The 14,795-nt window shown below is 47.8% G+C and overlaps 1 protein-coding gene across 16 annotated transcripts in view, besides 4 other annotated features; it reads left to right on the forward strand.

Moving 5' to 3' along the window:
* Nucleotides 6,135–6,514: a silencer, noted in NCBI's record as "silent region_13376". NCBI's record gives its function as "represses an Ori minimal core promoter by ATAC-STARR-seq in GM12878 lymphoblastoid cells {active_cell/tissue: GM12878}" and the evidence as "EXISTENCE:reporter gene assay evidence [ECO:0000049][PMID:35858748]".
* The window catches only part of TRAPPC10 (trafficking protein particle complex subunit 10), a 94,244-nt gene continuing 85,958 nt past the window's right edge, over nucleotides 6,510–14,795 (forward strand). For all 16 annotated transcript variants that reach the window (XM_011529714.3, XM_011529715.3, NM_003274.5 and 13 more), the window contains exon 1: nucleotides 6,510–6,761. In XM_011529714.3, coding sequence (XP_011528016.1) covers nucleotides 6,695–6,761 — 67 coding nt within the window. In that variant the 5' untranslated portion in view covers nucleotides 6,510–6,694. The remainder of the gene's footprint in view (nucleotides 6,762–14,795) is intronic.
* Nucleotides 6,665–7,334: a silencer, noted in NCBI's record as "silent region_13377". NCBI's record gives its function as "represses an Ori minimal core promoter by ATAC-STARR-seq in GM12878 lymphoblastoid cells {active_cell/tissue: GM12878}" and the evidence as "EXISTENCE:reporter gene assay evidence [ECO:0000049][PMID:35858748]".
* Nucleotides 7,885–7,944: an enhancer, noted in NCBI's record as "active region_18560". NCBI's record gives its function as "activates an Ori minimal core promoter by ATAC-STARR-seq in GM12878 lymphoblastoid cells {active_cell/tissue: GM12878}" and the evidence as "EXISTENCE:reporter gene assay evidence [ECO:0000049][PMID:35858748]".
* Nucleotides 7,965–8,014: an enhancer, noted in NCBI's record as "active region_18561". NCBI's record gives its function as "activates an Ori minimal core promoter by ATAC-STARR-seq in GM12878 lymphoblastoid cells {active_cell/tissue: GM12878}" and the evidence as "EXISTENCE:reporter gene assay evidence [ECO:0000049][PMID:35858748]".

Below are 14,795 nucleotides of genomic sequence, written 5' to 3' on the forward strand. Positions count from 1 at the left end.
AGGAGCCACTCTGTTGCCCTCTTCTAGCCACACCCTCCTCCCTCCTTACCCCACACCCCTGTGGCCCCTGGCAAACACTTGTCTGTTCTCCATTTCTATAATTTTGTTATTTCAAGATGTTGGATAAAAGCAACTGCACGGCGTGTCACCTTTTGGGGCTGAAGGGGCTTTGTGTTTTGTTTCTGAGACAAGGTCTCTCTCTGTTGCCCAGGCTGGAGTGCAGTGGCCCAATCACAGCTCACTGCAACCTCGGCCGACCTGGCTCAAACAATCCTCCCACCTCAGCCTCCCAAGTAGTTGGGACTACAGGCACATGCCACCAGGCCCAGCTAGGTTTTGTATTTTTTGTAGGGACGAGGGTCTCCCTATGTTGCTCAGGCTGTTCTTGAACTCCCGAGTTCAAACGATCCTCCTGCCTGAGCCTCCCACAGTGCTGGGATTCCAGGCACAGCCCCCGCACCTGACCTGGAAGGTTTTTACTCAGCATTATTCTCTGGAAGTTCCTCCAGGCCTTTGTGGGGATGGTTTGTTCCTTTCTGCTGCTGAGTAGTATTCTGGGTGTGGATGGGCCACACTGTTTGATGATTCAGAGGCTGAGGGATGTCTGGATTGTGTCCGGTTCTGGGCAGCTTGCTGTGAACATTCACTGACTGGCCCTTCCTTTTGCCCTCTGTGCAGAGGGCCCGAGCAGTCCCTCTGGTTAGATAAGGCAGACACAATGTCCCAATACATAATTTAACAGGCTCTTTGCAGCCTGGAGACGATGTAATGGGTTACCAGGAAAAACCATTTGAGTTCAAGTTCCAGCAACTTTTCAAAAACAATAAAACAAAATAAAAAACACCCCAAATGCTGCCTCATGAAAAAAGGTACTAAAAAAAAAAAAAAAAGAATGAACATCGATTGACAGGACTAGCATCATTTCACCATGATTCATTAAAAGAAAGTGCCAAACCAGTGTTTGTGCTGAATTCAAGCATTTTCTAAATTCCCAAGTGGAAAAAAAAAATCTCTTATAGGTCTGCTCAGAGGGAAAATAGGCTTGCAGTCCACTTACTGCCCACGCACCAAAGGCTGCCTGGACCAGAGCCGGTGGGATTGGAGGAGGGGATTCTGCCTTTGCCTCCCTTCCTCCAGAAAGAACACTCCCTAACGTGGGAGCCCATCCAGCCGCACAACGCTGTGTCCACGTCTTCGGGAAGGGGAATGGCTAGTGTCTGTCTTCTCAGAGCAGCTGGACTCAGTTCTCTGTGAGAACAGTACAAAGACATAGATATTCCTCGGCTTGGAGTCTACACTTGGTATTGTCGGGTTTTTATTTTTTATTTACTTATTTTTTGTTTTTTGAGACAGAGTCTAGCTCTGTTCCCCAGGCTGGAGCGCAGTGGTGCAATCTCGGCTCACTGCAACCTCCGCCTCCCGGGTTCAAGCGATTCTCCTGCTTCAGCCTCCCAAGTAGCTGGGATTACAGGTGCACGCCACCACGCCTGGCTAATTTTTTGTATTTTTAGTAGAGACGGGGTTTTACCATGTTGGCCAGGCTGGTCTCGGACTCCTGACTCCTGAGGCCCACCTCAGCCTCCCAAAGCACTGGGATTACAGGCATGAGCCACCGTGCCTGGCCTCGTCAGGGTTTTTAATTATAAATTTAAATTTTATCGATTTGAGTACATGTGAAGTGGCATCTCATTTTCATTTTAACTTGCATTTCCCTGATGTCTAATGAGCGCTGAGTGTCTTTTCCTGACATAACTGGTCCTTTCTGTCTTTCTCCTGTTGTTCTTTCCCTGACTTCTTTTGGATTAGTCAGATATTTTCTATTATTTCTCTTTTCTTTATTGGCTTCTTAGCCAAACCCCTTTTGTTCATTTTTTCCCTAGTGCTTTTTCTCCTGGGCACAGACTACGTATGCCTCACATATCAAATTTAATGTAGGGTCAATATTGTATCACTTCAGTCTTCCCTCTTCATACATAACCCTTTGCATCTTGCACCTCACACCTGGAGTTCCACACTTCACAGTGTGAGGAGCTTATCAGTGGGTTACCTCTCACCATCCATCCTTCACACTGTCCTTACCTTTTACTTCTACACACACTGTAGAAGTATCACAAGCTATTGTTTGTTTTAAACAGTCAGTGGTCTCTTAAAGAAATTATGAGAAGGGCCGGGTGCAGTGGCTTATGCCTGTAACCCAGCACTTTGGGAGGCCAAGGTGGGCAGATCACCTAAGGTCAGGAGTTCAAGGCCAGCCTGGGGAAGACCCCCTGCCGTCTCTACAAAAAATTAAAAAATTAGCTGGCATGGTGGTACGTGCCTGTGGTCCCAGCTACTTGGGAGGCTGTAGTGGGAGGATGGCTTGAAGCCAGAAGACTGAGGCTACAGTGAGCCGTGACTGTGCCCCTGCACGCCAGCCTGGGCGACAGAGCAAGACCCTGTCCCCCCACCAAAACATTTTTTTTCTCTTGATCTATTTCACCAGTTTGAGTATGATATGCCTGCATGTAATTTTCTTTGTATGTGTTCTCTTCAGGTTTTGCTGAATTTCTTGATCTGTAAATCAGTATTTTTCACCACGTGTTTGGATTTGGAGCCATCATTTTGCAAAAATGTTTCCTTCCTAGACTCATACTCTCCTTCTGGAGCTCCGATCACACATGCTTTTGGCCATTTCATACTGTCCCATAGGTCTCTGAGGTTCTCTCCACTTTTCTTCAACTTTTTTCTCTTCTTCAGATTAAATAATTTCTATCCATCTGCCTTCAAGATCCCAAACTCCTGTTTTCTCCAATCTGTTAATCCAATTCAGTGAAATTTTCATTTCTGTTATTGTACTTTTCAGTTCTAGACTTTTCTTTTGATTCTTTTAGATACTTTGTTATTCTGCTGTGAATTTCTGATTCTTTACTCATTAAGACAATATTTTCATTTAATCCTTTGGACATATTATTTTTATTTATTTTGAGATGGAGTCTTGCTCTGTCACCCAGGCTGGAGTGCAGTGGCACTATCTTGGCTCACTGTAACCTCCACCTCCCGGATTCAAGCGATTCTCCTGCTTCAGCTTTCCGAGTAGCTGGGGCTACAGGCGTGCGCCACCACACCCAGCTAATTTTTGTGTTTTTAGTAGAGATGGGGTTTCACCATGTTGGCCAGGCTGATCTCAAACTCCTGGGCTCAAGTGATCTGCCCACCTCGGCCTCCCAAATTTCTGGGATTACAGGTGTGAGCCACCGTGCCCAGCCTCCTTTGGACATATGTAGAGCTGCTTTAGAATCTTTGTAAATACAGAATCTGGTTCATTGTAGGGGGATTGGTTTCTGTTAACTGCTTTTTTTTTTTCTTAACTATGGCTTACGTTTTCCTCTTTCTTTGTATGTTTAGTGATTTTTGTTTTTTTAGTGTATATTCAACACTGATAAATAACAAATGAGGGAGACTCAGGGTGCTCTTCCACTGAAAAATCCTGACTTTCGTTCTAGTTTGTAGTTCCATTACTGGACGTACCATGCTGGGCTGTGTAGGCTTAGCTTTAGGCTCTGTTTACTGAGCAATGTCCCAGGTGTCTCCCAGGCCCCTCTTACTTGGCAGGACTTAACCTCCAAACTCTGACCGTCTTGTGGATCGGGTCAGGGTTTTGCTTTAGACGTTGTTAAGGCGGGCCTGGAGTAGTCCTTATTCTAGGGGAGGGACTGGCAACCTCTGGCTCACAAGCCACATGTGTTGATGGCCTGTTTTTGTACAGCACTTAAAGCCAGGAATGGCTTTTATATTTTTAAAGAGTTGTTTAAAAAAAAAAAAAAAACAAGCAAAAATATGAAACAAAAACTGCATGTGGCCCACACAACCTAAAATACTTATCTGGGCCCTTTATAGGTCGTTTGCTGACCCCTGGGAATGTGATTCTCAATCTAGTGTCTCAGCTCAATGTCCTCAGTGTTAATGGCATTAAAAAGGTCTTGACTGGGCACGGTGGCTCGTACTCGTCATCCCAGCACTTTGGGAGGATTAGGCAGGAGGACTGCTTGAGGCCAGGAGTTCAAGACCAGCCTGGGCAACAGAGTGGGACCCTCTCTCTACAAAAAAAGAAAAAATTAGCCGGGCGTGGTGGCACTCACCTGTGGTCCCAACTACTTGGGAGGCTGAGGTGGGAGGATCACTTGAGCCCAGAAGTTCTAGGCTGCACTGAGATAACGATCAAACCACTGCACCCCAGCCTAGGTGACAGAACAAGACTGTCTGAAAAGAAAACAAAACGGAAAGTCCTTTCCTGTAGCACTACTGGACCTCTAGTCTTTGTGCCATCCTCAACTCTGTAACAGCCGCTTCCTGGTAAACCCATAGAGTCGTCCCACACGTGTAGTCCAGCCTAGGCCAAGGACTTTCAGGGAACCCTACATCGACTTCGGCTCCCCACTCTTGCTAAGCTTCTTCCCCTCCAGTGCCCTGCCTTGCCGGCCTGCTGCTTTAGCTGCCCAGAAGTCTGGTCTCTTGCCTCTCACACCATTACAGTGCACCACACTACACTATGTTCACACATTTAGCAGCTGTGTTCACACCCAAACTATCTCATATATACATTTTGTTAAAAAAAACTTCAGGACTCTCTAAACTTATGATGCCAAGGGTGAAGTTAAGCCCTGGAGACTGAGTCAGTAGCAAGTTTGCAATTCTGCTTCTTCGATTACAGTTTAATGCTCTTCCTCCTTGTTCTTGAGCACAAGTGTCTTCCTCATTGTGGCTGCTCTGTAAATCAGGGCTCCCCGACCGCCAGGGCCACAGACACATACCGGTCAGGCCACACAGCAGGAGGTGAGCTTCAGGCCAGGGAGCAAAGCTTCATCTGTATTTACAGCTGCTCCCCATCGCTGGCATTACCGCCTGAGCTCCGCCTCCTGTCAGGTCAGCAGCAGCGCTGGATTCTCCTAGGAGGGTGAACCCTGTTGTGAACTGCACATTGGAGGGGTCTAGGTTGCGTGCTCCTTATGAGAATCTCATCCCTAATGATGTGTCCCTGGCTTCCATCATCCCTAGATGTGACCGTCCAGTTGCAGGAAAACAAGCTCAGGGCTCCCACTGATTCCACATTATGGGAAGTTGTATTTTATTACATATTACAACATAAAAATAATAAAGTGCACAATAAATGAAATGTGTTTGAATCGTCCTGAAACCACCCCAACTTTGTCTGTGGAAAAACTGCATTCTATGAAACTGGTCCCTGGTGCCAAAAAGGTTGGGGACTGCTGCTGTTAATGACTAAGAAAGACCAGGTCTCCCCCTTCCCATTTGGTGATTTTTGTTACAGATTAGCTGTCTCCATTGTCCTGTACCTGACTTAGACCAGACAGCACAGAGACCCCAGGACTGTTTCATCTTCAGTGGGTCCCCAAAGAAAAAGACCACCTCGACTAAACAGACTGTTGTAACTATGCATTAGGCCTTATACAGAAAAGACGCTGAAATTCGGTTAGGCTTCCCGAGACGCTGGCTATAGAAACGACCCCAAATTTCTACGTTTGAGAACACTGACTTCCATTCTTTATAATGTTTCCTGGGCGCCTCAAGCTTCGCATTTGACTAAACTCTAGATTCTGACCCTTTTGATTATTTTTGGTTGACAGTTTTTGTCATTTTATGGCTGGGAGTGATGGCTCACACCTGTAATCTCAACACTTTGGGAGGCCAAGGCTGGAGGATCACTTGAGCCCAGGAGTTTGAAACCAGCCTGGAAAACATAGTGAGATCCCGACAAAAGAAAAGAAAAGAAAAAAATTAGCTGGGCGTGGTGGCTGCCCCCGTGGTCCCAGTTACTGGCGGAGGGGGTGGGGCGGGGGGAAACAAGGCGGGAGGATCGCTTGAGCCTGGAAGGTGGAGGCTGCAGTGAGCCGTGTCCCGCCACTGCACTCCAGCCTGAGCCAACTGAGGAAGACCCTGCTCCAAAGAAAAAAAGAAAAAGAAACACCCGCGCCCCGCCCCCCCCGTTTACGTGCACAAGAAGCCCATATGCAGTTAAGTGTGAGGTTTATTTTGTGGCATTCCGAAATGCCGAGGGCCAGGTCCCCACAAAAACATTTGCGGCGTGAGGGAAACGGGAAGAGCCCAGCGGTAGGCGGAAGGCACGCGCCGGGGACACTCAGCGGCGAGGGCCTGCGGGAGCCCCCAGCGCGATAAGGAGCCCGGCCGGGGAGCAGCGGCCCGCCGCGGGACGCCCGAGCTGCGGGGAACGCGAGGGCAGCGAGGCCGGCGTCTCTGGTCCGGGAGCGTCCAGGCTCGCTCACCGCGCGCGAGGCCCGCCTGCCGAGTCCTGGCCTCAGCTCCGGCGCAGGGCCCAGCGGGGCGCCCACTGCCGAGGGAGGAAGATGGACGTGTCCCGGGAGCCCCGCTCCGCCTCCCACTTCCCACCTCCCGGTCCCGCGCGGCCGGCCCGGGCGCACTTCCGTCGGAGGCGAAGCGCGGCGAAGACCCGCCCCGTGAAGCCTCGCGCGCCCCGGAAATGGTCATGCGGCGGCGCCGAGGCCGGAAGTGGCTGAGGCCGGCAGCAGCGGGCGGCAGCTGCGGCGCAACCGGCTCCGGAGCTGCCTGGCGCGGCCGGGCGGGCGGCGCCGCTCAGGCTCGGGCTCCGGCTGGGCCCGGCGCGGCCTCGGGGCTGCCCATGGGGCGCGGGGGGCCGGGCCGGTGACGCCGGACGCCCATGGACGCCTCTGAGGAGCCGCTGCCGCCGGTGATCTACACCATGGAGAACAAGCCCATCGTCACCTGTGAGTGCCCGGAGGCGGGGAGGGCGCGGCGGTCGTTGGGCGGGCCCGGGCCCTGGCGTTATGCACCCGGCGCCCCCAGACCTTCAGCCCCCGGCGCGCTCCGGGCTGGGCCGCTTCCTGGAGGTGTGACCAGGGCTGCGGCTGAGGCGGGGCCCTCTGACTTTTCGGGGACGCCCTCTGACCTTCCCGCCGGGCGACCTCTGACCCCTGGGGGGCGCCCTCGGGCCGGCTGCAGTTGGAGCCGGTGGAACCCGGCGGACTCTGCCCGGGACTGGGCGCGCGCCGGCGTCGAGGGCGAGGAGCGGGGGCTGCCACCGCCCCGTCCCGCCCCCGTTGAGCCGCGCGCCCGGGACCTGGGGGCCCCGGCCTCTTCCGCCGGGCGGTTTTGCCCGCGGGCGCCCTTTCCCCGACTACGGGGAAGTCCTTGGGGGCTCGCAGAGTTGCAGGCGTTGGCGAAGTAGGAACAGTTTGTTGCGGGGTGAAGCGTCAGGCAGAGCCGCCGGGACTGCTTTCGCTCCTACACACTTCCCCGCCGCGCACTCAAACCATTTTACGGATGAGAAAGCCGAGGCTCGGGCGCTTAGGCGAGCTTGCTCCCCATGAACAGCCTCCCGCTCGAGTCTACACTACGGACACCTGGTGCCTCTTGGGTGTCGTGTCCTCCCCGCACCCCTCCTTTAATGCATACACAAAGGAACTGTTTTTCTGTTACGGGAAAAATGTTCCCTAAATTTTAGAAGTGTGACTCTCCAGAGTTAAATACGGTTAAGAACAGTGAGCTTATGGGAAGTATTGAAATGTTTGTTGGTTGGCTTTTAGGTGACTTGCAGAGAGGTGTTTCAGACTGTTACGATTTTTGACCTTTGACAGTATTCTGTATTTTCATGCATGTATGCAGTTAGTTTTTTTCTAGTTGTCTTTCGTGCTTGGAAAGGAAGCACTCTCTGTTGCAAAATCTGGGTGCCCAGGCCACAGTAGACTGTATGTCGTGAGAACTCCTGTTTCCCTCTCACTCTGTCAGCGGGTGTGCACCTGCTGTGTTCCTTCCTGTTAGATCCCTGAGAAACTGTATATTGAAGGTTGAATTTTGTTGCTTCAGCTTTAGGTGATAGACTTATTTCTTTCCTTCCTTTTGCTTTATTTTGTCTCTTCTCCTCTCCTCCTCTCTCTTTTTTTTCTACAGAGACCTAGACGAGATGATAGACTTTTCTTAGGGAAGTGGACTGTGTCTCATTTAAAATTGGAGACTTGCATAGTTCAGCAGTAGCTGTCTTTTTTCCTCCCCAGAATATTTGTCAGCTGAAAGTCTTTTCCTACTCTGCACCTTCAGCCCCAGAGGGCAGATGTGGGTAGAGCTGGTCTGCAGGCCCTGCAATTTCCCAGGGGCTTTCCCAGTGCTCAGGGAAGATGAAGCCATGCGCAGTTCATGTTAAGTTTTACTGTCTTCCAGAGGTTGAACATTTTTCTCCTAAAGTGCTGTGCACGTTGTGAATGCTGGATACACATTCATTGCCTGTACGGACATCCACACATCTAATTTTATCTTCTACCTCCTAGCTTGCTTACATTTCAATAGCAATATGTATTTATAGGCATTATGTAAATACATTTCTGAGGAGAAAGTTCCTAAGCTCTATTGGATTCAACCATAACTAAAGGGGTAAAGTTTGTTATCTGGTTGCCAGTGTTGGAGATATTTAATGTTTAGTTTTGTACATGCGTGCATCACGGACAGCTGAAGGATGCGGTTTTCTTTCCTACAGATTTATTGGATTGTCATCTTGGTGGTGGGTTTTTTCCTGTGTTTTGAGCAGCAGAGTGAATTTTTTTTTTTCCTTCTTCTTCTTTTTTGAGACGGCGTCTTTCTCTGTCGCCCAGGCTGGAGTGCAGTGGCATGATCTCGGCCATGATCTTGGCTCACTGCAACCTCTGCCTCCCGGGTTCAAGCGATTCTCCTTCCTCGGCCTCCCGAGTAGCTGGGATTACAGGCGCATGCTGCCATGCCCGGCTAATTTTTTGTTTGTTTGTTTTTGTTTTTTTTTTTTTTCAGTAGAGACAGAGTTTCACCATGTTGGTGAGGCTGGTCTCGAACTCCTGACCTTGGGTTGTCCACCTGCGCAGCCTCCCGAAGTGCTGGGATTACAGGCTTGAGCCCCCACCCTTGGCCTCAAGCAACATAGTGAATGTTAATCTCTGCATGGATGGTACACTGTCCTAGAAGGTGCAAACTTTCATTCATTGGAGTCTCAGAAGAGAAGGGGGCTTCAGTAGACTGTCAAAGTTAACTTGAAAAATGATCACTTTAAAAGTGAAGGTAAAAAGCTGACTTCATACTTCCCACTTGAAATTATGTTGTGGTATATCTGGGACTGAAGCTTTAGGAAGCACTTGGCCTGGTTTCACTTTATGCCTTCATCTTGCTCCTCTCTTTCAGCTATACATGTTTTGAAAGGAGAAGGTGGTATGAACAATTGCTTTAAAAAAATCCACCCAGAGGCTAATTAACCCTTAACTTTTTAATATTATGTACATAGTTCTCTTAGTAGGCAACATTTTTGTTTTCAAAAATCTTTTAAATTCTTACTTGAAATGGTATTACCTCAGATCTGTTCATTTTAAAATGAAAGTAGAGTTTATGCATGTTGTGAATTTTTTTTCCATAGAATGTATAATATTTTACTTCAGTGAAAATGCATTCTGCTTAGACCTTTCTGGGAAGAATATAGAATGTAACTGGTTCAGGTGAATTTAAAAACTGTGTATATGTAGGGATAGAAGAATGAAAAGTTCCCAAAGATTAAGGGTAATTAGAATAGATTATTACTTTAAAACCTAGCTGATTATTTCACTTCATTTTATTATTATTATTTTTTTAGAGATGGGGTCTCGCTCTGTCACCTAGGCTAGAGTGCAGTGGCATGGTCATAGCCGACTGCAGCCTTGCTGGGCTCAAGTGACCCCTCCCTTAGCCTGCCAAGTAGCCAGCACTACAGGTATGACCCACCTCACCTGGCCTGAATTATTTTAATAATATTTTGAAGCTCTCCAAATTTTTTTTTTTTTTTTCTGTCTGAGACAGAGTCTTGTTCTCTTGCCCAGGCTGGAGTGCAGTGGCGCGATCTCGGCTCACTGCAACTTCTGCCTCCCGGGTTCAGTCGATTCTCCTGCCTCAGCCTCCCAAGTAGCTGGGATTACAGGCGTACACCACCATGCCCACCTAATTTTTGTATTTTAATAGAGACACAGTTTCACCTTGTTGGCCAGGCAGGTCTAGAACTCCTGACCTCAGGTGACCTGCCCGCCTCGGCCTCCCAAAGTGCTGGGATTACAGGCGTGAGCCCCCGCACCTGGCCCTAAATGTTTTAATAGACTTTAGCCCATAATTAAACCTCCTGCCTAACGGGCTCCTGTGAAGAGGGACTAGCACAGTAGGGGCCTTCTTAAACTCAGAACTAGTTACAGCTTGTAAATACTGAAGAGTGTATGTGAAATGTGCAGGGATGGGAGCTGAACAGTTAGTGGAACTAATGCTTTGACGGGGTTGGGTGATGAATGACCGAATCATAGCAATAGGAAAACTTGTAGTATATTTTATTAATCATGAAAAATGCCTGGCGTAACTGAAACAAATCCAGCAGATCCATTTGGTCTAAATTTAAATTTTAGCGTAGATTTGTTTTTCAGCCACAGGGTCAGTTTTCTGTTTTGAAATAGACTTGGGTTTCTGTTCCAAGGGTGTATTAGGAAAGACACGTTCCTTTTCCAGCCATCTCATTCAGTTAGTGACAAAGTTAATGTAATTCCAGTGATTTGTGGCTTTTCTTTGTTGACTGTCCTCATACCTACAATAGCACATACCTGTTATTAGCTTGGAATTGAATTTCTCTGAACAATAATAGTACCCTCCCTCTAGGTGATCTGTTCTCATTAGTCACATCTGTTGCCTGTTTCATTTTTCTGAGTTTCTGTATTTGGGGTTCCAGGTCTGATATTAGAAACTTTTAAAGGGGAAAACAGGCAACAGAAATGAGCAGATATGTAGAGCTTCGTGTCTGGTTGGACTTTGGGATTTTCCCCTGTAGGTTAAAATTTTTTTAATTTTAATTTTTATTTTTTGAGACGGAGTCTTGCTTTGTTGCCCAGGCTGGAGTGCAGTGGTGTGATCTTGGCTAACTGCAAGCTCCGCCTCCCGGGTTCACGCCATTCTCCTGCCTCAGCCTTCCGAGTAGCTGGGACTACAGGCGCCCGCCACCACGCCTGGCTAATTTTTTGTATTTTTAGTAGAGACGGGGTTTCACCGTGTCAGCCAGGATGGTCTTGATCTGACCTTGTGATCTGCCCGCCTCAGCCTCCCAAAGTGCTGGGATTATAGGCATGAGCCACCGCGCCCAGCCAGGTTAAAGTTTTTAAATTTGCACATTGAAATTTTCTACTAAACCTGAAAATGTGGTGCTTGCGATTTAACCATCACTAGTTTTACTACCAGAAAAGTCACTTGAAATGTCTGTTTAAATGGGTGAATATGTTATAAATGCAGATTTTGTTTCATATTGAATTCTCAAGGCAATGTTGAACCAAAGATTGAAAAGTAGGAGAAACATTCTTCTTAGGAAATCGCAGTTGTTGCAGAGAGTATGTATTTGGAGGCGGGGACTAAAGGCACCAACAAATGTGCTTAACTTACTATGTCATTTCTACCCGAGCATGGTTACAAACCATTCCATCTTGTACGCATGACCTCGGTTCTTACATAATTTCACAGACCCTTAGCTGTGAAACGGGTACAGTACCAACCCCATCGGGTTGAGAAGGGTGTGTAAAGCACTCAGGAGAGTGTCAGGATTATAGTCAGTGTGCAAAAAAAGTTACTAAGGAGAGGTTCCTCAATTTTCTCTGTTCACAATGCTTTTAGTGTCTCGGTAATTTTTTTCATGGCATCTCTAGGCTAAAAGGAATACTTAAAAATTCCATTTATTAAGTAGTTAGATTCCAGTAATTTATTAAATATTATGTCCTAACAAGAGCTGTTTGAAAAAAAATATATATAAGTTGGAAGAAAAAAATATTTTCATCATTCTTCCTAATTGCAGCAGTGTGCTACGTGGGGGGCAGGCCCTGCGGGAGCTCTGTGGCACCTCTCACCTGAAGGTCGGATTGGACGCTGCTTCTCCCTTTGGTTTTTTTTTTTTCTTCTTCTTTTTGGTGGTACTTGCTTTTTATCAGAGCAGCCACCCTGTTTTGCGACGATAATGATGTCATCGAAAGAAGTGGAGCCCTGATCTGATGTTGACACTGTGAATACCTTGTGTGGGGTTCCTACACCACAAGCATTGCTGTTTCCCTCATAAATTTAAAATATCTCTTGGTGCCTCTCTGCGTAGTGTGTGGGAAGCCTAGGTACACAGTTTGGGAACCCGTGCTGTTAGTGTTATTAGCCCAACTCCAGGGTGGATTTGAACTGATACTTTAGAATTGAAAAGCTTCCTTTCTTTTCAGCTCACACACCTACTTTACTACAAGATGTGTTTCTGAAGAGTTTCTAGTAAGTTCTTTATGCAAATGAAATGGAAAGGTCTGATTTTCTTTTTTTTTTTCTTTTTTTCTTAAGTGCTGATGAATCTCTGAAATAATCAAGTATGATACAGCTTGGGCAACATAGGGAATTCCTATCTCTACAAAAATGAAAATAAAAAAGTTAGCCAGGTGTGGTGGTGTGCGCTTGTACTCCCAGCTACTTGGGAGGCCGAGGCGGGAGGATCACTTGGACCTGGGACGTCAAGGCTGCAGTGATCTGTGATTGTACCTCACACTGCAACCTGGGTGACAGAGCAAGACCTGGTCTCAGAAAAAAAAATAAAGGCTGGGCGCAGTGACTCATGGCCATAATCCCAGCACTTTGGGAGGCCAAGGTGGGTGGATCATGAGGTCAAGAGATTGAGACCACCCTGGCCAACATGGTGAAACCCCGTCTCTACTAAAAATACAAAAATTAGCTGGGCGTGGTGGCTCGCGTCTGTAGTCCCAGCTACTCGGGAGGTTGAGGCAGGAGAATTGCTTGAATCTGGGAGGCGGAGGTTGCAGTGAGCCGAGATCATGCCACTGCACTCCAGCCTGGCGTGAGACTCCGTCTCAAAAAAAAAAAAAAAAAAGTATGTCGGGCATAACACATGAACCAGTCTTTCCTTAGAGAGTTTTTGCTGTGTGCTTCCACCAGAGGCCTGCCAACTGACAGTGTGATTGTGTGGCTCACTCTGGCTGAGTTGGTTATCTTTTAATGGAAATACAAATAACTGACTTAAGGATTTTTTTGTCGTAGGAAAGTTTGTTGCCAGTTGACAGAGTGTCTTCCCTGGAGTCGCATGCCTTAGTGTGTAAGTGTGTGGTCTCCAAAGGTATTGCACACTGATCTCCAAGTACTGACCCTCCCACCCCCGTGCTCCACTCTAGACCTGGTGGCTTTAGATCTGGAGTTAGAGACCAGCAACGGCAGAAGATTACAGGGTCTTTTTTTTTTAAGACATGGTCTCACTGTGTCGCCCAGACTGGAGTGCAGTGGCATGATCTCGGCTCACTGCAGCCTTGACCTCCTGGGGTCAGGTGATTCTCCCACCTCAATCTCCCGAGTAGCTGCTTGTGTGCCACCATGCCCAGTTAATTTTTTGTATTTTCAGTAGAGATGGGGTTTCGCCATGTTGCCCAGGCACGTTTTGAACTCCTGGATTCAAGCAATCCGCCCTCTTTGGCCTCCCAAAGTGCTGGGATTACAGGCATAAGCCACTGTGCCCAGACAGCTGCAGGGTCTTAAACAGTCAAAACATTCCCACCTCAGTGCCTGCCTCTGTGGTGGGTTGCCTCAGAGCTTCCTGTGGCTTCCTGTCCTGTGTCTCACCTTCTTTCTTCCTCAAATCTTTCCTCTATCTGCTCTTAATGTCAAATATAGTCACAGTATTTTGGCCTTAGAGAATATTTGTTTTTAAATTAAAAATTGATAACCTTGGAGTCATTTATGACTTCTTTTTTCTCTCACAACTGACATTATCTTTGAAATATATCTAGAATCCAGCTATATATAGGGCCTGCCTGGATAATCTGGGATAATCACATCTTGAGCTCCTGAACTTAATTAAGTCTACAAAGACCCCTTTCCCAAATAAGGTGACATTCACAGGTTTTGAGGGTTAGGATGTTGTGGGGCACCATGCCACCTGCCGCACCACTGTCTGTGTTAGCTACCAAGCGCGCAGTGGCCGGCATTCATCAAGCGTCTTTGGTTTTAGACAGCTGCGTCTGTCTTTGGAGGTTTGTCCTTCGTGTACTCCTGACCGAGGGAATGTTATCTTGACATTTGGGCTTCTGGGTTCTAGATGTGGTTACAAGGTGGGGTGATCCCTTCTTAGGAAAAGTCCAGCCTCTTCTGTGCTCTCTCCCTTATGTGGCTTTTTGGACATTTGTTACATGGTGTTTAATTTCTGAATATTATTTTAGGCCCCTGTTTGCAATTTTTTTTTTTTAACAGTGACCAGGGACCATTCCATTGTATGTTTGGACATTTTTCTTTTCTTTTCTTTTTTTTTTTTTGAGACAGAGTCTCGCTCTATTGCCCAGGCTGGAGTGCAGTGGCGTGATCTCGGCTTACTGCAAGCTCCGACTCCGCCTCCTGGGTTCACGCTATTCTCCTGCCTCAGCCTCCCGAGTAGCTGGGACTACAGGCGCCCACCACCACACCTGGCTAATTTTTTTGTATTTTTAGTAAGGATGGAGTTCACCGTGTTAGCCAGGATGGTCTCGATCTCCTGACCTTGTGATCTGCCCGCCTCGGCCTCTCAAAGTGCTGGATTACAGGCATGAGCCACCGCGCCTGGCCCATTTTTCTTATTTTTAACTGAGATCTGTTAGCAGTTTGAAGCGATTGTATACATTTCAGAGTTAGCTGGGCATGGTGGTGCGTGCTTCTAGTCCTAGCTACTTGGGAGACAGGCCAGAGGATCGCTTGAGCCCAGGAATTTGAGGCTGCGGTGAGCCATGTTTGTGCCA

The sequence above is a fragment of the Homo sapiens genome, chromosome 21, assembly GCF_000001405.40.
Source record: "Homo sapiens chromosome 21, GRCh38.p14 Primary Assembly".
Lineage (NCBI taxonomy): Eukaryota > Metazoa > Chordata > Mammalia > Primates > Hominidae > Homo > Homo sapiens.